At 37.4% G+C, this 22,286-nt stretch overlaps 1 protein-coding gene across 31 annotated transcripts in view; it reads right to left on the bottom strand.

The window, feature by feature from the left end:
• TENM3 (teneurin transmembrane protein 3) overlaps positions 1-22,286 on the bottom strand; it is a 1,355,412-nt gene that overhangs the window by 102,874 nt on the left and 1,230,252 nt on the right. For all 31 annotated transcript variants that reach the window (XM_017008385.2, XM_017008389.2, XM_017008390.2 and 28 more), the window contains 5 exons: positions 20,275-20,485; positions 19,802-19,903; positions 19,414-19,608; positions 18,137-18,337; positions 11,800-11,985 (listed from right to left, as the gene is read on the bottom strand). In XM_017008385.2, the coding sequence (XP_016863874.1) occupies positions 11,800-11,985; positions 18,137-18,337; positions 19,414-19,608; positions 19,802-19,903; positions 20,275-20,485 (895 nt within the window). The remainder of the gene's footprint in view (positions 1-11,799; positions 11,986-18,136; positions 18,338-19,413; positions 19,609-19,801; positions 19,904-20,274; positions 20,486-22,286) is intronic.

Here is a 22,286-nt window from a genome sequence, read left to right as displayed (position 1 = left end):
CTAGCTGCCTTTCACTCTCCAGTTACCTGGCTTACTTTTGGGAAGCATGTGGCATCCTTATAATCTGGAACTCGAGAGAATCTTTCTCTTCCTTGCTGATATTGTGAAATAGCTGACAACATATTATTCTGCAGCTGGTTTCACTCTTAAATGCCTTGGATCTAAACTTTTCAATAAAAGGCTTCTGATGAACTTGGCAAGCAGAAGGAGCATTTTCTATCTTTATTTCTGGTTAAATTGTATATCCAGTCAACTGAGCTTTAAAACCTCCAATATACTCGGTTTCGGTGGTAATTTAGATCTTAGATGGTTTTTAAAAGATACAAATTAATGAGGTGTTCCAAATGGAAAAAAGATCCTCTAGTATATTAGTAAAGGAACAAAATGTCAAGTTTGTAATGAAACAGTATCATATGAATTTGACATATCACTTACTCGGCTTTTATTCAGATAACATGTCTCTCAATAAACTTTTTAAAAAACAACTTATATTGGCTTAACATGAGGCATGCGGTTTCAGAAAGAAAAATGGAAACCACAGGCATGAATACATGGCTATATTCATATTTTAAATTTCTGGCCTGGCATATAACTGTAATTAAAATTAATGGATTCAAAAATTTCCTTGAGATAATAATTATAATTTATAAATTGTTTCCCTAAGACACAGAGCCACTACACAGTAAACTGTTTTGAGACTTAAAAGAACTAGTTAGCAAACCATTAATTTCACAGTGGGAAACAAACACGAGGTCCTGGGAAAGGAAGGAATCGGGTTTGCCAAGCCTAAAGGAATCAGGCATATTTCAATGACATCTAACTTATCAAAAAACAATACAAATCCTCAAGTTGCTTATGTATTGCTCCCAGTTGAGAAAAATCACAACAGGTTTAACTCTCCATTCTTTCTGAAACAGCTGCTTCTAATGCCAGTGGGCCCGCCTTCCAGTGGGCCTTGTAGGAGAAAGCTTAATTTAGCAATAGCTATTGGGACTCAAGTTAGACCACAGGAGGTAGACCGGAAAGAAATTCCTGCACAAGTAAACACCACAGTATAGAATTCATTTATCATATGACCCTAAACAAGGACGTGAAGAGTATGTGAAGCGTATTTCTTTTCAAGAATTCTAACTTCTCATCCTCACAGCTATGTGTAAATCACTTCAGTGGAAAAACGTATGTTAAATCCAGATGTATTCACCCACCAAGCAATTATTTACACTCAGAATTGAGTCTCAGAAGGCCTCAAAAAATGTTCCTTTTCTAAAGTATGGAAAAAACACATCTAACGTTTCCCAAAACAACACACCTGTCCTAGAAATTTACCTCTCAGTAGCACTGGCACTGCCGTCTGATATGAAACCACGCAGCTCTAGCTGATGACTATGCTGCTGCCTGTCTTTTTCATGAGGATAAATTACGGCATGAAGGATAGGGTGGAGAAAGAGGGAACTCAAGGCCTGATGTCAATAGTGAGAGCTGTTTATCCCCACACTTACTCCCATTCTAAGGGACAGAAACCGAGGCCTTGGGAAATTCTTTAGTGGAAAATAAATCACCAACATGACTGGAGAACGTGTATCCACATGGCCCTCGGGACTGTGACTTTTCCTGACGGTTACACAGCAAGTCAGGTGCAGAAGTCAGTGAGGAGTCTCACCTACTTTTTTGAGGATGTAATCTGTAAACTGAGTTGCAGTTGTAATTCTAATGGGACTTTTGGAGACGTCATCGTATGACTCACACGGGAAGGTGAAGGAGATAAGGAAGGAGGGACACTACAAGGTTAAATCTGTAACACACTTCACCAGAGGTTGGTAGAAGAGTCCAAATTACTACCACCTTTGGGGCTTTATAGTATACAGATTGTAACAGTAGAAATGGAATGATTTCATAAACCCTTGGCAGGTAGTATTTAAGGCTAAACTATGATAGAAACACAGAGTCAAACTTACTAAAGTTTCAAATTTAGGCCACTAAATTTGTTTTTGGTGGTTGATTACTCTCTCACTCAACAGGCTGTGGAACACTGAGCGAAAGACGAATTTGGCTCAGAGTGCAGATCTGCCATTGCTCTCAATGCTGGCTGCAAGGAAGCGGAACCCAAGGCTCCATGTCCTTTTTTTGATGAAATTGGTGTATGTAAAGACAAGCAAATACGAAAGAAGAATTTGAAGGACAGACAAACTGCAACATCAACATAGATTACAACATCAAAATAAACATTATCTTTGTAGTAGTTTTAAAAATATTGAAACAGTAGAGAATACTGACAACCAAACAGGGCCTCCACCTTTTAGAAAGGTCAGAGGAACCAGGTTTGCATTTGTAGAAAAGAGATTAAGTGACCTCTTCTTTTAAAAATTACAAGTCTGAGGGGATTACAGAGGCTAAAGTAGTGTTTATAAAACTGTTAACTGAAGAAACTAGACTAAAATGAGAAAAACAGTATTGGAAGGCCCCCAGTGGATAGCTGCCAGTGGATACTGTCATCTCAATGGAAGAAACAGACACCGAAATCAGCCCGGTTCTCAGAACATGGGTGATACTCCCGAGTTCTGAAGGGGGCTTTCCATGACTCTCTCAGGGATCTCTATCCCCTCTGTCCATCAAATTTCTTATTACTGAGAATCACTGGGACTTGCAGAGCAGGAGGGACCTCAAGAAGTTCTCGTTCTGCAAGCTTCACAGAAGGTTTTTCAGCCTGTCAATTTAGGAGAATTTCCCCTAGATTTTCAGCGCCAATCAGGTCAGTTTAGGAGAATCTCCCCCTCAACTCCACGCCTGCTGCCTCCTTGGCGACCCACTTTCCACTGTGAATGACAGATCATGAGGCATCTATGTCCAGACTATTCATGTGCCAGGAGGCAGAGGGGATTAGCTCTCCTTGTATCCAGCATGCACTCCTGTTTTTTCTGGAAGAATTAGCCGAGGCTAATTCCTCTGCCTAGAGACAAGATTTAGCAGGGAGGAATTAGTCACAGTCAGTTTGTTATGAATTTCAGTCCAACGACCAGCAACAACAACAACAAGAAACATCTATAGGGTGTTTACTGTGTGCCAGGCACTGTGCTAAGTGCTCTTCCACATGACCTGACCCATTTAATACTCTCAGGGACTCTACGAGGTAGTTACTATTTTCATTCCCACTTTATAGATGAGTAAACTGAGGCACAGGGGGCTTAAGTAATTTCCCAAGATCATACAGATATGAAGTGACAGAGCTGGAACCAGGGGGAAATCCAGGGTTTATGGGTCTGAAATTTACATAATTTGGGAGGCCCTCTTTAAGAAAAAGAATATCAAAATATAAAAATGAAATCAGGTATAAAAGTATTTAGAATGAGAAAAACCGCAACAAAACATTTATTTTTCAGTTAATACCACAAACATGAGAGAAGTCATATGCATTTTTGTTTTTTTTTTTGAGATGAAGTCTCGCTCTGTCACCAGGCTGGAGTGCAGTGGCACAATCTCAGCTCACTGCAACCTCTGACTCCCTGGTTCAAGCGATTCTCCTGCCTCAGCCTCCCAAGTAGCTGGGATTACAGGCGTGCACCACCACATCCAGCTAATTTTTGTATTTTTAGTAGAGATGGGGATTCACCATGTTGGTCAGGATGGTCCCGATCTCCTGACCTCGTGATCTACCCGCCTTGGCCTCCCAAAGTGCTGGGATTACAGGCATGAGCCACTGTGCCCGGCCCCATATCCATTTTTTATTCAGTGCTTGCCATGTCTCTAATGAACATTTTTCCTATATTTTTGGGCTATAATTACTCTTTGATTGCCTCTTTATATGACAACGATTTTTGTAATATTTTCTATAGAGAGTATAGAGAGATAATTGAGTCTATATTCTATGCGATAGTTTACTTTTCATTATTGATAAAACTATCAACAGTAGTTCATTTGCCTTCAAAATTTGTTATTGGTAGTGTCATGTAAATTTGTGCCGTTACTGTCAAGTTTGGAAAGACTTTTTTTTTATTGTGTAATAAACTGATCTTAAATATGCTGAGTTGATAATACTCATTAACTATTTTGTTGTGATGTCTGTAGAGTAGACTATTTTGAGTTTTATGTTAAATTTGCAATGTCAGTATTTGACGTCACATAAACAAGACTTTTTCTGGTGCACTCATGTGATTCAGTGATACACTGGGATGAGTAACACATGTGATTTCACACACTGTTGAACTCAGTATCTGCAGTACTGCTACAGACTTATACCCTACAAACACAGGAATTCTGATAAATACTCAAAGGAGAAATATTCATCTAAAAGAAAAAGCTATGGCATGTTTATAATTATATAAATTCTATTATCAAGTACATGCCTGGTGGGAGAAAACTTCTGTTTTAATTAGGCATTTTAGGTATTTGATGACATGAGGAATTTTCCAGACTAGCTTCTGTTTCCATACATTTCAAACCTTACTTCTCCTCCAATACCTACTTGCTTCTGGTGCAGAGCTCCACAGGACAAAGTCGTATCTTCATCTAGTAACTCCCTGACCCTGTACTTTCGTGTCACTAGGTGAGTCAGTGGGAGGTAGGAAGATTCCTAGGTGGCTAGCAGTAACAGCCACAGAGAGAAGTGATTTCACACCTCATATGCATATCCCATTAAATCTAAACTAAATGTACCCCCAGATCAAATTCTCCTTATCGGAATTCTCAAAATGCCCACAGCCACCCCAATGCCACCCTGCACAAGGAAAAGTGTGGTGGAGAGGATGTTGGAGTGTGAAGGGTCAGAAGTCAGCTGATTTGCAAGTTTTATATTAACATACGACACCTGAACCCATGGGTGTTCCCTTGTGGGATCTTAGGAGGTGCCAGTGCAAATGAAGGACCCTGACATTTATGCTACACCAGCTTCACAGTAAACCTGTCTCTGGCAAGGTCAGGGACGCTGGTAGTTTGGCGCAAGGTTGCCTTTCATCACCACTACCAACCACTGACTGATGTGAAGCCAAATGCCTCCCAGAACAGCTATTTGTGGGTATGATGTGGTGCCCCATATCCACTGTTATTGGAAATTATAAACAAAATGTGACTTAAAATCTAAAAAGATATTTTTAGAATTACATATTGTTTTATTTTGGATATGATGCTCAATCTGGGAAACACTACAAAAGTTGCAAAGAATATTGAGTTTTGTAATTTAAGTGAAGCACTTATCAGAGTGGTCATTTTATTTTCAAATTTGTCACTTACTTTTTAATTTAACAATTAAAGTACTATTCTTTCACCATTATCTGAGATAAGAATTAGAACACCAAGCCTAAGCTTGTCTGTATCAGTAAAAGTTTTGCTCTTTCTCTCTTTCCACCCCATCTTGTTTCCGAAATACCTCCCCAGCTGTGTGCATTTCATTCTCAATTTCTAACCTTCGGCATCCCAAAGCCCAAGGGCAGCCCTGGTGTTTAACAGAGGATGCTGAGTACTGCATGTGTGAGTTTTGTCTGAGCAAACAAAGCATGTCTTTGTGATCATTAATGATCTTGTTTCCTAATGTACTAAGAATTAGAATAAAAACAAATAGCTGCTCTTTTGTAGTTTAAAGGAATTAGGATTTCCCCTAGGCCAAATTTCCAAGTGAACTGCCTAAAAGTACATGAAAATCAATGTAGCTCAATATACAACTCTGTGTTTGAGACATTACTAGAAGAAAAATACATCAATATCCTCCACCTTTCTTTCATCATCACGATTTTAAAAAACAACTCTCGGCTGGGTGCGGTGGCTCATGCTTATAATCCCAGCACCTTGGGAGGCTGAGGCAGGTGGATTGCTTGCGTCCTGGAGTGTGAGACCAGCCCGCCTGGGCAACATGAAGAAACCCCTTCTCCACAAAAATACAAAAAATGAGCCAGGTGTGGTGGCACACTCCTGAGGTCCCAGCTATTCGGGAGGCTGACGTGGGAGGATCACTTGGGCTCAGGAGGCAGAGGCTGCAGTGAGCCGTGACCGTATCACCGCAGTCCAGCCTGGGCAACTGAGTGAGACCCTGTCTCAAAAATAAAAAAATAAATGAAAATTAAAAAAAAATAAAACCAACCCTCAAACCCTTAACCCAAACATACAAATTTCTTGTTAAACAATATCCATTATGAGACTAGATTATATTTTATAATAATAAAATGCAAATGTCATTAACTCTTTAAAGTAAATGTCCTGGACAGGAGTTTTGTTCTGTTGTTCTTGTTTTTGAATGTTGGCACCCAAAACATTTTCTGGGTTGTACTTTGTCTCATTTACACTTAATAACAAAATTAAAACTTGAATTTATTGAACATTATTTGCTAAATGCTTTACATTCTAGTATTCCATTTAATTCTAATAATCCCATGAAGTACATAATATTCACATTTCATATAAAACAGGTTAAATGACTTGCCCAAGGTCACTCAGTGGTACGGCAAGAATTTCAATTCCCAAAGCTCTTAAACATTATTCTGCTTCAAAATCTCATATATGTACTATTATAGCCATTTTACATTGCGAAAAAACCCAACTGAGGCTAAGAACAGTTAAGATAAAAGCTAAAGGACGGGCGCAGTGGATCACCTGAGGTCAGGAATTCGACACCAGCCTGGCCAACGCGGTGAAACCCCATCTCTACTAAAAAATTAAAAAAGTTAGCTGGGTGTGGTGGTGGGCGCCTGTAACCCCAGCTACTTGGGAGGCTGAGGCAGGAGAATCACTTGAACCCAGGAGGTGGAGTTTGCAGTGACCCGAGATTGAGCCATTGCACTCCAGCCTGGGCGACAGAGTGAGATTCTATCTCGAAAGAAAAAAAAAAGAAGAAAAAAAAGATACCAGTTATAGTGAATAAATTGTAAAACTGACCTAAAAACATTTTATTTAAAATGTCAAAGCCCATACCTTTTTTATTATCTTACACTGACTTTTGTAAGAAATTGTTCTCAGTATCACAGAAGAGATGTTCAATAATTGCTTACTGGACACATAAATGAATTAATTAACAAATAAAAAGTAAGTGAGGCATGCAAAGTAGAGCATCCCACAAAACAAACCCCAAATGATCTGAAAAAGTGAAGATGGTTTCTCACTATGTTTCAATGCCATAGGAAAAACAAAAAGTTAAATGACATAGAGATAAAAAGAGAACCCCATGTTTAAATCTAGTAGTTTTCCAAATAAAGCAGAAATTATCAACAGCGAAAAAATCCTAGAACTGCAAGAGACCTTGAGGGGTCCTTCAAATAGGGCTACTACACAAGAGACTTGATCTTTTAGGATAACGGATGGAGAGAAGTTAAAAAAAAAACTCCCATTCTAAAAATACTCCTTAAGCTAACAAAAAGAACTGACGAAACCTCCAGTGTTTCACACCTAAGTAATCATAGTATTAAACTTTAACAATACTACGATTACTTGGGAGGTTCCAAAATTTCTTGAGTAGCTTGTTCCAGGATTTAAATATGCTTTCTGACTCGAGCTTCTTCATTATATCTAACAAACATTTATACATTGTAAACCCATATTCTCCATTTCTGTCTCCTGGATAAATGGAAAATGCCAATCAGCCTCCAGAAGACAACTTGCCTGTCTACAGAGAGCTGAGTCTTCTTTTCCTTCACAACAACCCTCCATAGTAGATAACAATCAAATATGTTATTCAATCATTACCCTGCTATGGTCTCAATCTCACTTACAGCCTCCAATTCTCTGGGATACAAATGAATGAATTCTGGGGTAAACCTCTTCAACAAATACTAAAAAGAATGGTTCTTGTGGAAGTGATAGGTTAGCAGTAGTAAAAATTTGGTACTTAGTATTTATCATTGTCCAGGTTATTTACTTCGTATTACACTTAAAAGTGATTGACTCTGCCTATAACCATCTGTTCAGCAGAGCCTACCACTGCATTTGCATTGCATCTATGGCCAACTAACTGCATCCACAGGACAGTCCCATAGGAGATTTTCCCTCTTTTTCTAAGCAAGAAGAAGCCCAATTTCTCTGACCTACCTCAACTCTCAGATGACAGAACTGTTGAAGCTTTTTTACATAGAGATAGCCAGATAATATTCTTATTATGTCAACTATTATTTAAAAAACATTTCATTATATTTATTTTTAACTTGTCTCTGAATCCTCTAAATATTTTTACATATTTCCTACCCATGAAAAACAGTGGCAGCACATGAGTATAATCCTTTGAAGCTTATATGGAATGGTCACATATAAAAGAGAGTATTTTTGTAGTGGAGCATCTATATCGGTGCTATTACTGTTAAATCATTTTAGCAGTAAGTACTGGTGCTTATTTGATGTGGTTTAATCATGTAACTTCTCTTTTTCTTTATTTATTAAAGGGTCTAATAATCATGAATGCTTTCTGGGGAGGAAAGGAGAAGTATCTATTTTAATCACAATATTGCTAAAAGTAGATTTCTCCTTGTTTCATTTTCCATCTGCATGCATCACCAATCAAAGGGAAACCCAAGAAAGGAGGACTTGGGATGATGAACCTGCAGACGAATATGCCTAATTTGCTGAACACATGATTCATAATGAGAGGAAAATATGAATACTCTAATAAAAATATCAGAATAGAACCCTTTCAGGTAGACAGGGTGTTCAGTGAACACTCCAAATTCATAACCTATTTTACTATCAAAATGCCTATGGTTTTATGAAAGCATAGACAGAGTTTATGAAGACAGTAGGATGACTAATGAAGAATGTCCTTTGCTTTCTAGTGGGAATTTTTGTTTGCTTCTGTTTACTTTCTCCTCCATTTCTCTTTCAATTAACCTTCCTGTTTGGTATTCAATGAGATGGCACATAATATGGAGAAAGAAAAAAATCTGGCTGATTTATGAGCATTCTTTCACCAAGTGGCAGCTTCTTTCAGCCAGATGCGTAGGGGTTAAAATGGGGAGGAAATGCAAGAACAGTAACCATCCCAAGTGAGAAAACACACCAGAGTTTCCTGGGTGTTTAATCTGTGGCTCACAAATGGCCCCGTAGGGCCACTAAGGGCCCTAACCAGGAAACTATGGTGGGCATATACACAGGTAGTAAGGAAACAGGGGAAAGGCAATTGGATCTTTGTATGCCAAAATTGGAAATAACTCATCTTATTAGTATAAAAGAGCAGAATGCTTTAAAGGTGCTCTACATCTTTTAAAAGGTTCACATCTAAGATTTATTTGTAAATGAAGCAGGTCCCTTATTTCCCACAATGTTATTCATATGGAGTATAAAAGCAACAGAATAAATTAAAATGATAGGAAATGGAATTGTTAAGAACTATTGCAGGGTTTATTAAATTATAATACAAAGACCCACTGCTAATAAAAATCCTGTTTGTTCCTAAACAACTAGAAATTTGTTCAAGAACAGCTCATCTATGGGAAACTATTATCCATGTAATAATACCAAGGCCACTGAGAACAACACTAAAATGATTTGTTGAATAACTATTGGTTGGTAAGTTAAATCCGCCTATGGATAACTTTTTGGCACACTTCCTGGTTTTCAAAGCTATACACACGTGTTTGTTGTACTTCCTAAGATACATACAGTCAGATCATAACTTTTCTCCCTCAGCTAGACTCAACTCATTTCTTCTGATGTATCGGGTATCGGGTGGTGGAGTCACAAAGAATGAGGGAATGTGATCAGAGGTATAGTTTTCCTGCCCTGCCTCTGGTATATAGGCATTCTGGGACCTGGGGCATGGAGCTGTTTGGTTATAGAGGTATTGCATTGTCCCTTGTATGGCCACAAAAAGATACACAAATCCTGCTCATCAACTTTCTTCTGCCTTAATGTAGTTCACATGAACAACCTGCTGCCACTGCCCTACAAAGCCTCTTTGGGAGGGGAAAGCCACATCAGTGGGGACGAGCCCTGTGCAAGCGCTATGACTGTGGGCACCTGTTGTTGATTTCAGGCGGGAAGCTCCAATGCAACAAGCGAAGCTCCAAGGATGCTGTGCAAGTAAGAGCTAACAGTGGGCCTGATCTGCAGGATTTTGGCGGGCTGGCCCTTGGCTGGCATCTGGAAATTTGGATGTTCCCTACACTGATAAGGTTATTTTGTCCACACCTACTCTTCTTAGGAGAGTTGGAATTTTGGTGGTTGTGGCAGACAGAGGATACCTCCTGGAGAAGCCCCAATAAAAATCTTAGACTCTAAGTCAGGAAAGTCCATCTTTAGGCTTCTCTGGGCCACACTGGAAGAATAAAAATTGTCTTGGACCACACAAAACATACATTAACACTAACAATAGCTGATGAGCTAAAAAATTGCAGGAAAAACTCATCATGTTTTAAGAAAGTTTATGAATTTGTGTTGGGCCTCATTCAAAGCTGTCCTGGGCCGCATACGGCCCACAGGCCTCAGGTTTGACAAGTTTGCTCTAAGTCTCGAACAGGCTTCCCTGGGCAGAAATACTGCAAATATGTCGATTCGTTTCGCTGCTGGGAAAAGGAGCATGCTACACATGACCTCTCCTAGTGGGAGAGAAGGAAGATAGGAAGCCTGTGCATGGATTTCTGCAGACTCTGCCGGATGTGTCTTTTTTCTTTCTGGTTGTGATACATTATAGCCATGACACAACTACCTCTGGGTCCTGAGTTCTTCTTGAAGATCACCAGCGTGGGGGCGTGGTGGGACCCTTGAAACAGATGTCAAGGATGTCAGTAAGATTAGAAAAAAACTTACATGAAGTGTATAATGACACACTTGTGACAATTTATAAGACACATATGATTTCAATTTTCCCATGACAAAGTTCCCGGCTAACCAAATCCTGTGAGCAAAAAAGCGAAGTACATAATACTTACGGATACATCGGAAGAAGAAATCTTTAAAAGACACTGACACTCCCCACAACAGATTTATCAAATTTCACCCTAGGGATGTAAAACAATGTGGAGAAATACTATACCACAAATTCTGAAATTTTGGTAGGACCGTGCCACTTATAATTAATACTGTGTACTTTCACTGAAGTGATATAGAAATTTATTACTTACTTTTGTTGTACTTTTAAAATTAAACATTTTAATTTTAGTGACAAATGGTAAAAGCAAAGACACTAAGTATCTTGAAAACATGATATATATGTTTTGGATACTTTTGTATCTATGCTAAATATTGTTTATATACTAATGTTTTGATCTGAAACATCTATCTGATGGTTTTATTTAACCTACAGATGTTCACAAATGTCATCATATATGAAAAAGTGTTAACCATACAGGTTTGTTTAAGAGCAGCGAGATTTGTACATTTGATTCTACTTTATTTCTCATGATACCACAAAATGAAGTCATAATAAGTCAAACCTCTTTTGCAGAGACTCAAGATATGGACAAGTCTAAGCTATGTGATTCTGGAAACTACAGAGGCCAACAAGGGCATATATTTGAAAAAAATTTAAAGCATTTTTTTCTAAAGTGGAAAATCTGCTATTAAGAAATGCAATGACAATATGGAACATCAAGAAGTAATATTCGATAAAACTTCACATAAACAAATCATTAAGTCTGTTTTATGTGAGTCCATTTTTGTGGCCGTCCCAAAAACCAATGAATAAAAAAGTTTATAGCTCATACTTGTGACAGCTGTTCTAAAAAGAACTGAATTGCCATTATAAAATGACAACCATATTTAAAAAATAATTTCGTGTTAAGAAAGACAAGTAAAAAATAACGTAAAGAAATAGGCTTTTTCCAAGTTGAAAACAGCTGACCGTCGGTGCTCTTCTCTGGGAGGAAGGGGACAGACACAGACTTGCAGTAAGCCTACCGATAGTGCAGTGCTCTCCATTCCAGCCCTGGCTGCATTCACACTTGCCATCCTTGCAGGTCCCGTGCTCGGCACAGCGGGGGTGGCAGGCTCTCTGATTACAGGCTGGGCCCGTCCAGCCTTCTTCACAGCGACACGTCCCCCCCATGCAAACGCCGTGTGAGCCACAGTCCACAGAACATATTTCTATGTGGGAGGAAGAGGACACAAAACAGGAGAGAAGAGTGGCGGGAGAGAGAAGGGGAATTAATAAGCAGCTTTTATCTTCCACACAAATTTGTTCAAGGGAAACACAAAATCATCCAAAAGAAATCAAAAGTATTTGTATGCTACGTAAATTTCAGCACTGACTACTAGGAAATGATCAATGGTGGAACTCTACGTCTTTATTCATCATTTAATTTTACATGCTGCTCTAATCATGCAGAAAATACACATGACAATTGTTAGAAATAATTTCTTTACATATACAATACTTTATATAGAAAACATTACATATATAGAGGGTGGTCATATTTATATACACCTATCACCAAGAAAACATGTCCCCACACCCCCATCCCCAAATTAATGAAATATTTCAGCATCTCAGGTATCTAACAGGACTTGGATTTCATACATATGGCAAGAATTTGAAATGGGGTTGTTTCTAATGCCACATTTAAATGTTTTAAATATTCAGAAACTTTCACTAAGAGGAATCTACTTAAGTAAATTAGCTTGCTTCTGACACAGACATGCATGTAAAAAGAAACTGTTTTTCCTATTCAGTAAATTTGTACAGTTGACAGATACAAATTTCTTAGTCCACAGTACAAAACCAGTTTAATAATACATATAATTGACTCTCCTTTGAAAAACAAGGTTTTTCAATTCCTAGAATTACTGAAAAGAGCACAAGTGACCAAATGAATTCAAATGTTTTAATACCAGGTTAGGTCTTTAAAAAGAATTCAGATGTGTAAGAAAAAAAATTTTAAGCTTTCTTAAAAGCTTTATTTAACTAGTTCCAATTGAGAGACAGGGAGAGGCAAAGGTAAAAGAAACTTTGAAGGTTATTTCATTTTTACATATAAGATTAAAGTTAGCTATAGTTTTTTCCCCTAAAATTCTAAGACTATTGATTAGTTTTGGTTTTCTTACAAAAATAAAGCACTGAACAATAAAAACCTAAAATCATTTCTAACAAACAGAAAATGTACTAAAACCTTTTTTTGATTAAAAAATAGTAGCTGTTTATGTAGTCACATGTTCTGTTTTCCCTATTCATTCCCCAGGTAACATTTCTCAGACACGTGATTCTCTATCTCACAGGCTAAACACCTTATCAAGGCACTACGAGAGTTGTAATATTTTTTATAAACAACACCCAGGACTATTAACTGGAAGAGGGTAGCACGCAGGTTTTTTCATGCAATATTTTCTATCTCCTTTGAATTAAACTTTTGATTAAGAGATTCAAGATAGTTTGATTAACTTCAGAGCAACATAACATCAACCCAGCTCCAGAAGTGAGAGGGTTCTTTCTGAGGTACCCTTTTTATTCAATCTAATCAATTTTTCATTAGGGTGATGGTGTTTATCAGCATTTAGCACACTAGCTTTGAGCAAGGTGCGTCAATCTTTGTAATGAACTTATTAATTAGAGTTAATTTAATTGAAGTGGAATTGAAGGGCTAATTAATGAACAAACTGCTGTTGAAGATAGAGGAAAGCTCTGTTGCTTTCAAACCTATAAACTTTCAGATGGAAATAATTCATTTCTTCTCTTTTAGCAGCTTAACCAATGTTTCTTCGGGTGTAAAGTCTATTCTCTTATTGAATTTAGATATCTGAAGGTCATTTCCACATCAACAAAAGAGGTAGGCAGTAAAGTGTTTTCCTTTAGGATTCACTTAGAAATTCAGAATTATACTGCTTGTAAACTTTAAGCCACAAATGTAAATTAACAGTGCTTTTATAAGCTTTAAATGAGAACTGTGCAACAACCAGATAAATTTGAGGTACACAAGACCAGATATTTTCAGTGTGATTGGAAGCATATTTGAGACCTTTACTATGAATTCTAAGTAAGTTTTCTGTCTTTTTGTGGCTAATAGCAAAGTTTCATAAAGATTTTTTCTATACTTAGTATAATTACTTTCTTCAAAAATAGAGTATTATATTCATTATACTACTCTATTTATTGAGAGTTAAATATATGTGAAGTTTCTTTTTTGCATTGAGGATATCAAGATGAATAGGATAAAGATCTCTGCTCACTATGATTAAGCAGTCATTTAGTATACAGGTAAAATTAGATTTTCAACTACCAAAATAATTACAGTAGCATGAAAAAAATTCCGTCTAAATATGTAAAATAATGATGTGTGATTTTTGGCAGCCAATTTAATCTTTTAATGAACATTTATATGTATATTTTCCAATTCATAGCAGTATCATTTTATGAAGAGGGCTGAATTAACTTTTGAGTTATTTAGTATCAGTTACAAACTACCCTTTATAAAATAATTCAGGTAATATACTATAATAACTTTATATGAAAAAAGGGGCTATTGTGCTTGTTCCTTTCCGACTTGGATAACTGTAGGAAGCAAATCTGAATGACAGTATTTCAAGCAAGTATTATTCTACAGCTAGTCTTAATATGCCTGTTTTACTGATGGAGGCCTAAGAGACCTGAACCAAGTACCTTTACTATAGAAGTAATTATCTCTATAACATTTAATTGGATATTTTTTGTGGAAAGGGTTTTTTAGTGTAGGTAAAAACTCAACAGAAAACACTAAATGCTTATTTTATATGTAAATTATATGTAATTACAAAATATATTTTATGAATAGCGGACAAAACAAGTTAACATGTTATTTAAAATAATACCACTCACTCATGCTGGGTAAGTGTTGGTTGGTGGTAATACCCTAAAACTCTTTAGTAAGACATTCAAGGCTCTCTCTAATCCAGATCCCAATTTGTGTTTTTACTCTTATTTATTCTATGCATGTTATTTGCTCTAGCAGATGTGAATTTTCTCTACAAAGTTTCTGGTTCTTCAAGCTATCCAGAGGTGTATGGGCCAAAAGATGAGGGAGAATGAATAAAACAGGAAGGAAGGGAAGAAGAGAAGGAGGAAGGAAGGAAGGAGAGATAAGAGAGGGAGGGAAGGAGGAAGAAAACTCATACAAAAATCAGAATGGGAAGGAGAACTCAGGATGAAAACTTGTCTCTAAGTAGTATATGAGTTCAACAGAAAATTTTCATCAATATTATACATTAGCTGATAGGAAACATTTGTTAGTCTGGGCTTCCAGGATTCAATCTGTAGTAGGTAAAGAGTAGCAGATAAATCTGTCATGCTGATACTGACTCATAGGGCAGCAGAGATGTCACCCAAGCTTCTCAAAAGGCCAGGAAACAGCAATTTGTAAAAATTACTAGCCTTTTTACTTCTTGCTAAAAATAAACATGTGAATTAGCTTCTTAGCACAAGATTTCATGTAGTTTTATGCCATTAGATTGTACTAATAGAGGAAACAATTTGCATTTCATAACTTTCACATTTAGGGAACCATGTCCAATCACTGCTTTAATGTGGAAGCTCCTCTGAATTGATGAGAAATTAAGAATGACGAACTACAATTAGCCTTTAGAATACTTCTACCATAGTAACTACTACCACCACCCTCTACTACGTCTATTAATGGTTAACACTTACTGAGCACTTACTGTCTAAGGTGCTATTCTAAGTGCTTTTCACATACTAGCTCATTTAAGCCTTACCTCAACTGTATAAAGTAGTCCTGTAATTATCTCCATTTTACATATAAAGAAACAGAGGCACAGAGATATTAAATAAATTGCCCAACGTCATATTGCCAGTGAATGGCCAGTCCAAATTTTTTTTTTTTTTTTGTGATGGGGCCAGTCCAAAATTTGAACCCAGGCAGTTCAGTGTCTGAGTTCTGGTTCTCAGCCACTTACTGTTAAACAGGCTTAGAGAAGGGGGCAATCAGTGTGGGCAGGAAAGTAGATAGACCCCTTCACTGAAGCCAAGACTTATGTTTAATCTAAGCAGGATGTTTTTATTCACTCAACACTGCTAGTAAAATCCATTTGCTTTCTCCTTTCTTCTGCTTGTCCTTCCTCCTCTATCATTGTCCTCTTCCTCCTCCACTTCTCTCTTCCCTGCTTCTCTTTCTCATTTTTCCTCTTCTTTTGATGAACTGTGTAGTTTTGCTTAGTTTGAGTATCCAAACGGAATTCATCTCTTTTCTATTTCTCACTTCTCTTCCATTGCCTCCCTACGTCCTGCCTCTTCAATCAGCCTCCCCCTTTCCCAACTTTCTTGCTTCATTCAGGGACATTAACATTAGCACCAATTTTCCTTGCTTCATTCTTACAGCTCTTCTCAACACACGTCTCTATTGTGTTTTTTTCAGCAGGTCCTGTCTGCTTTTCCTTTCAAATGTCCCTCAGATTTATCTTTTTTATTTCTACTGACTCCCAGCCAATTCATGCTGTCATCACCTCACGCTTGTGGGAAAGTCCTCCAGCTTGTCTCTTCGCCATCAAAGTCTCACAATTCATGCTCTCTGACTTATTATCTACAGGACAGTTTTCCAAAAACAATACTCTCATTGTCTTAGTGGGCAAATTATTGCTATCGATAAATCCTCCATTGCCTAAAACTATCATTTCTAAACCATACTCCCCAAAATTGGGCCCAATCCAATTTTTTTGCCTCCAAATACTTTTCTTTTCACTGTCCCTTGAATATAATGATATTTCTCACAATTGCATCTTTGCTAATCTTTTATTTAAATTACTTGGAACCAGAAGTGATTTGGATTTTAAACTTTTTCAGATGTTATAATATTTGCAGAATAAATACCCCTGGAGCATCCCTAATCTGAAAATACAAAATCTGAAATGCTGCAATGAGCATTTCCTTTGAGCATCATGTTGGTGTTCAGAAAGGTTTGAATTTTGAAGCATTTTGAATTTCAGATTAGGGATGTTCTATGGTAGTGATGATGGTGGTGGAAGCTATCTTTAGAATTTATTATCAGCCAAGCTCTGTACTAACTATGTTATATATATTATTCCAAGTAATTCCCACAGCATCTTTGTGAAGAGTGTCCCATGATTTTACAGATGAGTAAACTGAGGCATATAGTAATTTGCCTAAGATCACATAGCTCTTAAGGAGTACAGATTGGATATGAATCCACACATCTGATTTCACAGTCCATGCTCTTAAGTACTTTCTAATACTGTTCACCTAGCCAAAAATTATACCCTTACCCAGACTACCACCATCATTAAATAAAGAAATGTTAATACAAGTCTCCTTGAAAACTCTGAATACTCATTAAGTTAGAATCACTCCTCTGAATGTCCACTGAATTTAGCATAATATTCCATGTAACACTCAATATAGTATTAAACTAGGATGTATTGATTTAGAATTTTTCATATGTATTCATCTTATCTCCCTAAATAAACTGTAATCTTCCACACTAGAATGGCATCTTCTCAAACCATAACTTATGAGTTATGGAATTAGCTCATGAGTTGCAACCAACATTTGAAAAAAATAAAATAGGCTTGAAAAAAATCAGCGTGTATCACTTTGTAAAATGTTTATTTCAATTATGTGAGTATGTGCATGTATACTTATACTAGGTCATGATGATAGTTCAAGGTCAAAAAATTAGAAAGCCATTGTTCTAGAGGGCAGACACGATTTGTTAAGTCTTTCAGTCTTACAGGGCCTATCACAATGCCATGCACATAGTAAGTGCTCAATAACAACTTGGCTGATTGAATGAAATTACCTTGTCTTATTTCTATTATAACCATGTTATTATGATTAAAAACTCAGTGTTGAACCATTTATTCATATCATAATGTCTATACCTGTATACTCTTTACTGTGATGTTTAGCCTTATATTGTCAAATGATTTTTTTAAATTGAGCCTTCCCTGTTTATAAGATAATGTGCTTAAATCCCCAAGCTATACTTAAGATTTTAGAGAGGTTAGTTTTGGTTAGTAGTTCCATAAATTGAGAGTTAAGAAGATATGGTATCTCATGCAGATGAAAGATGAGTCTCCGCATAATACTAAAGGGGAAATTTTAGTGACAAACTGGCTAAGCCTGGTTCCTTCTTTTTTATAAGGCAACTACATATCATTACTTTTAATATTTATTTCCATAAAGAATCACTTTACTAAAATTTGTATTAGGTTTAAAAAGGGAGGTTTAAAGATTAAAATATCATCTTTAGCCAAACAGTATTAAGCAACTCGATTGTACTGCATTTATTAACCTCACCGTTTGAGCAGTCTGGGCCAGTCCAGTTAGGGTCACACGTGCAGGAGCCACTTTCTTGAAGATACGTTCCGTGGCCGGAGCACTGGTCTGGACACATGGTCTTCAGTATTTCACAATTGCTACCTCCCCATCCTGGACTGCAGTGACATTCCCCGTGGATACACACACCATGATTAGAACACCCAGGGTCTATACAGTCAGCTGGTGTAAAGAAAAGAACAATTTTATTAAATCCAGAAGATATCATAGTGCATGCAGAAAAAAGAATTAAATCCTAATCTAATTTATATGAACATTTTGGAAAATCAAATATTTATCTACCATTTTCAAGAACTTGTTTCTGAAAATGCAAAGAATTATAATACAATAAAGCATTAAGATCCAGCCTAATGCCATTTAGGTAATTGAGACTCTTGCAAGGATTTGTAATTTTCCTGAATTACACACACAGGCTCTTGAGGTTTCAGACTATTGCTCTCTGTTCTGCCTAATCACAGAGTAATAAGTATTGCCTTCTCTATAACAAAATCTGTGACCACTGAGTACTGACAGCTGTATGGGATCCTCACACTGTTTGAGAAATAAATGAGTTGCATACTCTCTATCCTTCTTAATTCACTTCAATGTGCTTTAGATGACGAGATTTAATTTAGCAATTTGACTCAATAAAACTTTACACTTGTAGGGTCAATGGCCTGAAAATTTAATTCCAGAGACTTAATTGCATTACTTTGTGTGTGCAGATCAATAAAATCAATTTGATTGAAGAATGGAAATGGTGCTTTTTTGCTTTCTGAAAAAACAATTCACCTGCACTTTACAGTATGGTATCTCGACTCTCATCATTATACGTATACAGCTATGGAACACATCCATGATGTCATACTTCTTTTAGGTAGCATATTATGTGTACTACTCTGTCTTTCTAGAGATGTCAAAATGCTAGATTTAGAAGCTGGCATCAATGTAAAAAACTATAAAAAGAAAAATAAAATCAACCGTCCGCTGTTAGTTTCAAGGCATAAAGGTTTGCTTGCTTTCTCAGAGTGAAGAAAAGGAATGATTCACAGTGCTGAAAAAGAGCAAAGGGGCCCTTTGGTGCTTGTTCTTTTTATTAGTTAAAATGTTAGTAAAACAATGCATTCATAAACATGGATTTTTCAAAATTGCTTTCAAAAGGAAGCGTATAAAAGAGATCTGCCCAACTAAAGATTACAGATACAATCTGTTTCTTTATGAAGATAACAACAGACTTCTGTGAATATTGACATGTTTACCTTCTTCACAACTTTCTCCTTTGTATCCTGAGTTGCAAGCACAAGAGCCCATGATACAAATCCCACGACCCCCACACTGTGGGTCAATACACTGGGTAGTCGGCACATCACACTCGGTGCCCTTCCAGCCGCTGAAACACAGGCAGCGGCCCTTGGAGTACTGCCCGTTGCCACTACATAACACTGGACAGGCGGCTGTGAAACAAGACACGACAGAAGAATTACAGCCACACTTTCCACCGAGCTTCCGAAAGAAAAGACACATCGCTGGAACAAGCAATATGCCAGTCTCCCCCCCCCTTTCTTTCCTGTCTCGGTAGTTTTTGGAATCACTTGTGTTTCTACAGCTTATTTATATCGGCTTAAGAGAAGAATCTAACTTGCATACCTCTTGAACAATCCGGACCCAGAAATCCTGGAAAACAATGGCAAGTTCCAGAAACGCATTCTCCATTTCCATGGCAATTTCGGGGACATTCCACCACAGACTCTGAAGAAAAAGGAAAGAAGGAACACTTGTTGTATAGCCTGCCTCTTGCAAAAGATAAACGGTATCACTTTGATCTTCATTTATGCTAGATAATTTGAGTAGTAAAGCAAAGCACTGTCACTTCAAATGCAGATTTTCAAAGTGTTTCATGACATATTCTCCTCTCCCAAGGTAATTCCAGAAAATATTTTCTCCCAGTGCTTCACAGTTTGTCACATATTCCCAAATAAAGGTTTAAAAATAATTCTCACATTTTACCTGGGCTTTAACACCCTAGGAATTACCCCAAATTGGTACAGATAATTTAGTTTTTATTAAACACGGCGTTTAGGCTATAGCCTGGAAAATGCTGCTTTGAAGACTATTCTTACCTATAACAATGGTATTAAAAGACACCTGCTCTGCATTTTTCCCATCATTATAAAAAGCCAGATGCCAGATTCCAGAATCCAAGTACTGGATAAAGCCGGCCTCATGAAGGCTGACGGATCTCGCCTGCCGCCCGGCTCTCTCCGTCTCAAGCAGGCTCCGCTGCTCTCTGGCAATCAGCCTGCTGCCATCCAGGAGCTCCACGAAGTCATACTGGGGGGAGGACGAGGAAAAATAGTCAGAAAGATAAAGGGTGGCTGCTTCTCTCTTTTTTTTTTTCTCTTCAATCTGTCTTCCTTTGCTCTAACAAATACAATGTTAGAAAGAAGTTCCTGACAGGTCCAAATGGTAGAAGTCTCCCATGCATAGCATTTACAAGGAGGACGCAAACTATTCGCCACACAGGGCTGGATTCAAACATCAGGGACCATTTTTTTCCCTTATTGGGCAATATGGTTTCCAAATTTATTTAATTCTACTGACTGATCAAAAGTTTGATGAGTTTAGGCAGTTTGGGGATACAAACATAAAATCTACATGAACTGACATTTCCAATCCAGCAGGCTTATTTTTAATGCATTAAATTCATAATTGATATATAATAGTCGTACGTATTTTGAGTGCCCTCCCGGCCTCTGGTATCCATCATTCTACTCTTTCTTTTTTTTAAATTTTATTTTAAGTTCTGGGGTACATGTGCAGAATGTGCTGGTTTGTTACATAGGTATACACGTGCCATGGTGGTTTGCTGCACCCATCAATCCATCATCTACATTAGGTATTTCTCCTAATGCTATCCCTCCCCTAGCCCCTGACACCCTGACAGGCCCTGGGGTGATGTTCCCCTCCCTGTGTCCATGTGTCCTCACTGTTCAACTCCCACTTATGAGTGAGAACATGCGGCGTTTGGTTTTCTGTTCTTGTGTTAGTTTGCTGAGAACCATCATTCTCCTCTTTCTGCTCATTCACTTTTTTAGCTCCCACATATAAGCAAGAACATGCAGTATTTGACTTTCTGTGCCTGGCTTATTTCACTTCACACAATGAGCTCCAGTTCCATCCATGTTGCCAGCAACCTTGTTTTAGTTAGACCACAAGATAACCCTGTACAGTCTTCTCTGATTTAACATTCATGTAGCAACAACTACTGTTGAATCCTTACTCCGTGCTGGTTCCTCATAGGAACCCTCGTAGGAAGGCTTTAACATTTGCACTTTACAGGTGAAGGAATCTGAATCTTGAGGAGGGTAGCAGGCTCTCAGACATCTGGTAATGGTGGGGTTGGCTTGTGAACTCAAGAGCACTTTGCTCCAAGTGGGGTCATTCCTCCCACCCTACTCCACCTCTCTTGTGACCCTGATGTGACCATCTCAAGCACCATGGAGAACGCCATGGGCTTTACTTAGTTATTGTTAGATTAGAAACATGTAACAAGATGCCTTTACATCTTTGATCTAAACAGTTAAACAATGGAGGGGTTCTGAAAGGATGGCAGTAACAGTAAACGTGCCTGATTATTCTTATGAATGGGTCATCATTAAACCTAAGTTTTGTTGTAGTAAAATTAGACATGAACATTGGTGACTGGAGAGTTTAAAAAAGAATTAAAAGTATAAAATGTGATTGTTAATATAGTGGGGTAAAATTTTGTAACTAGAAATAATACAGGGAATTTGAAAGACACTGAAAAGACTTTCCAATGTAGTTTCAAGGAGTTTTTTAGATTACAATTGTTAAAAGTAGAGTGATTCAGTGTCTATAGAATGTTACCTAGTTTCATTCTATTCCTGAAGTGTGTTTATGGTGAAACATATGCCATAGTACTATATATAAATAATTATTATTATACTACTGCATATATAAATCATAAATATTCTACTTTCTGATAGGTTTCTTAAATGGAATTTCATCAGAGGCCTATTTAAGAAAAAGATTATATGAATCTCTTAATCCAATCAAACTGGAATAAAATCAGTTGTTGGAATTTCTGAGAATCACAGTTAAATATATTGCC

The sequence above is a fragment of the Homo sapiens genome, chromosome 4 (genome assembly GCF_000001405.40).
Source record: "Homo sapiens chromosome 4, GRCh38.p14 Primary Assembly".
Lineage (NCBI taxonomy): Eukaryota > Metazoa > Chordata > Mammalia > Primates > Hominidae > Homo > Homo sapiens.
Note: the sequence above shows the minus strand (reverse complement) of the source record. Positions and strands in the feature narration are given on the sequence as shown.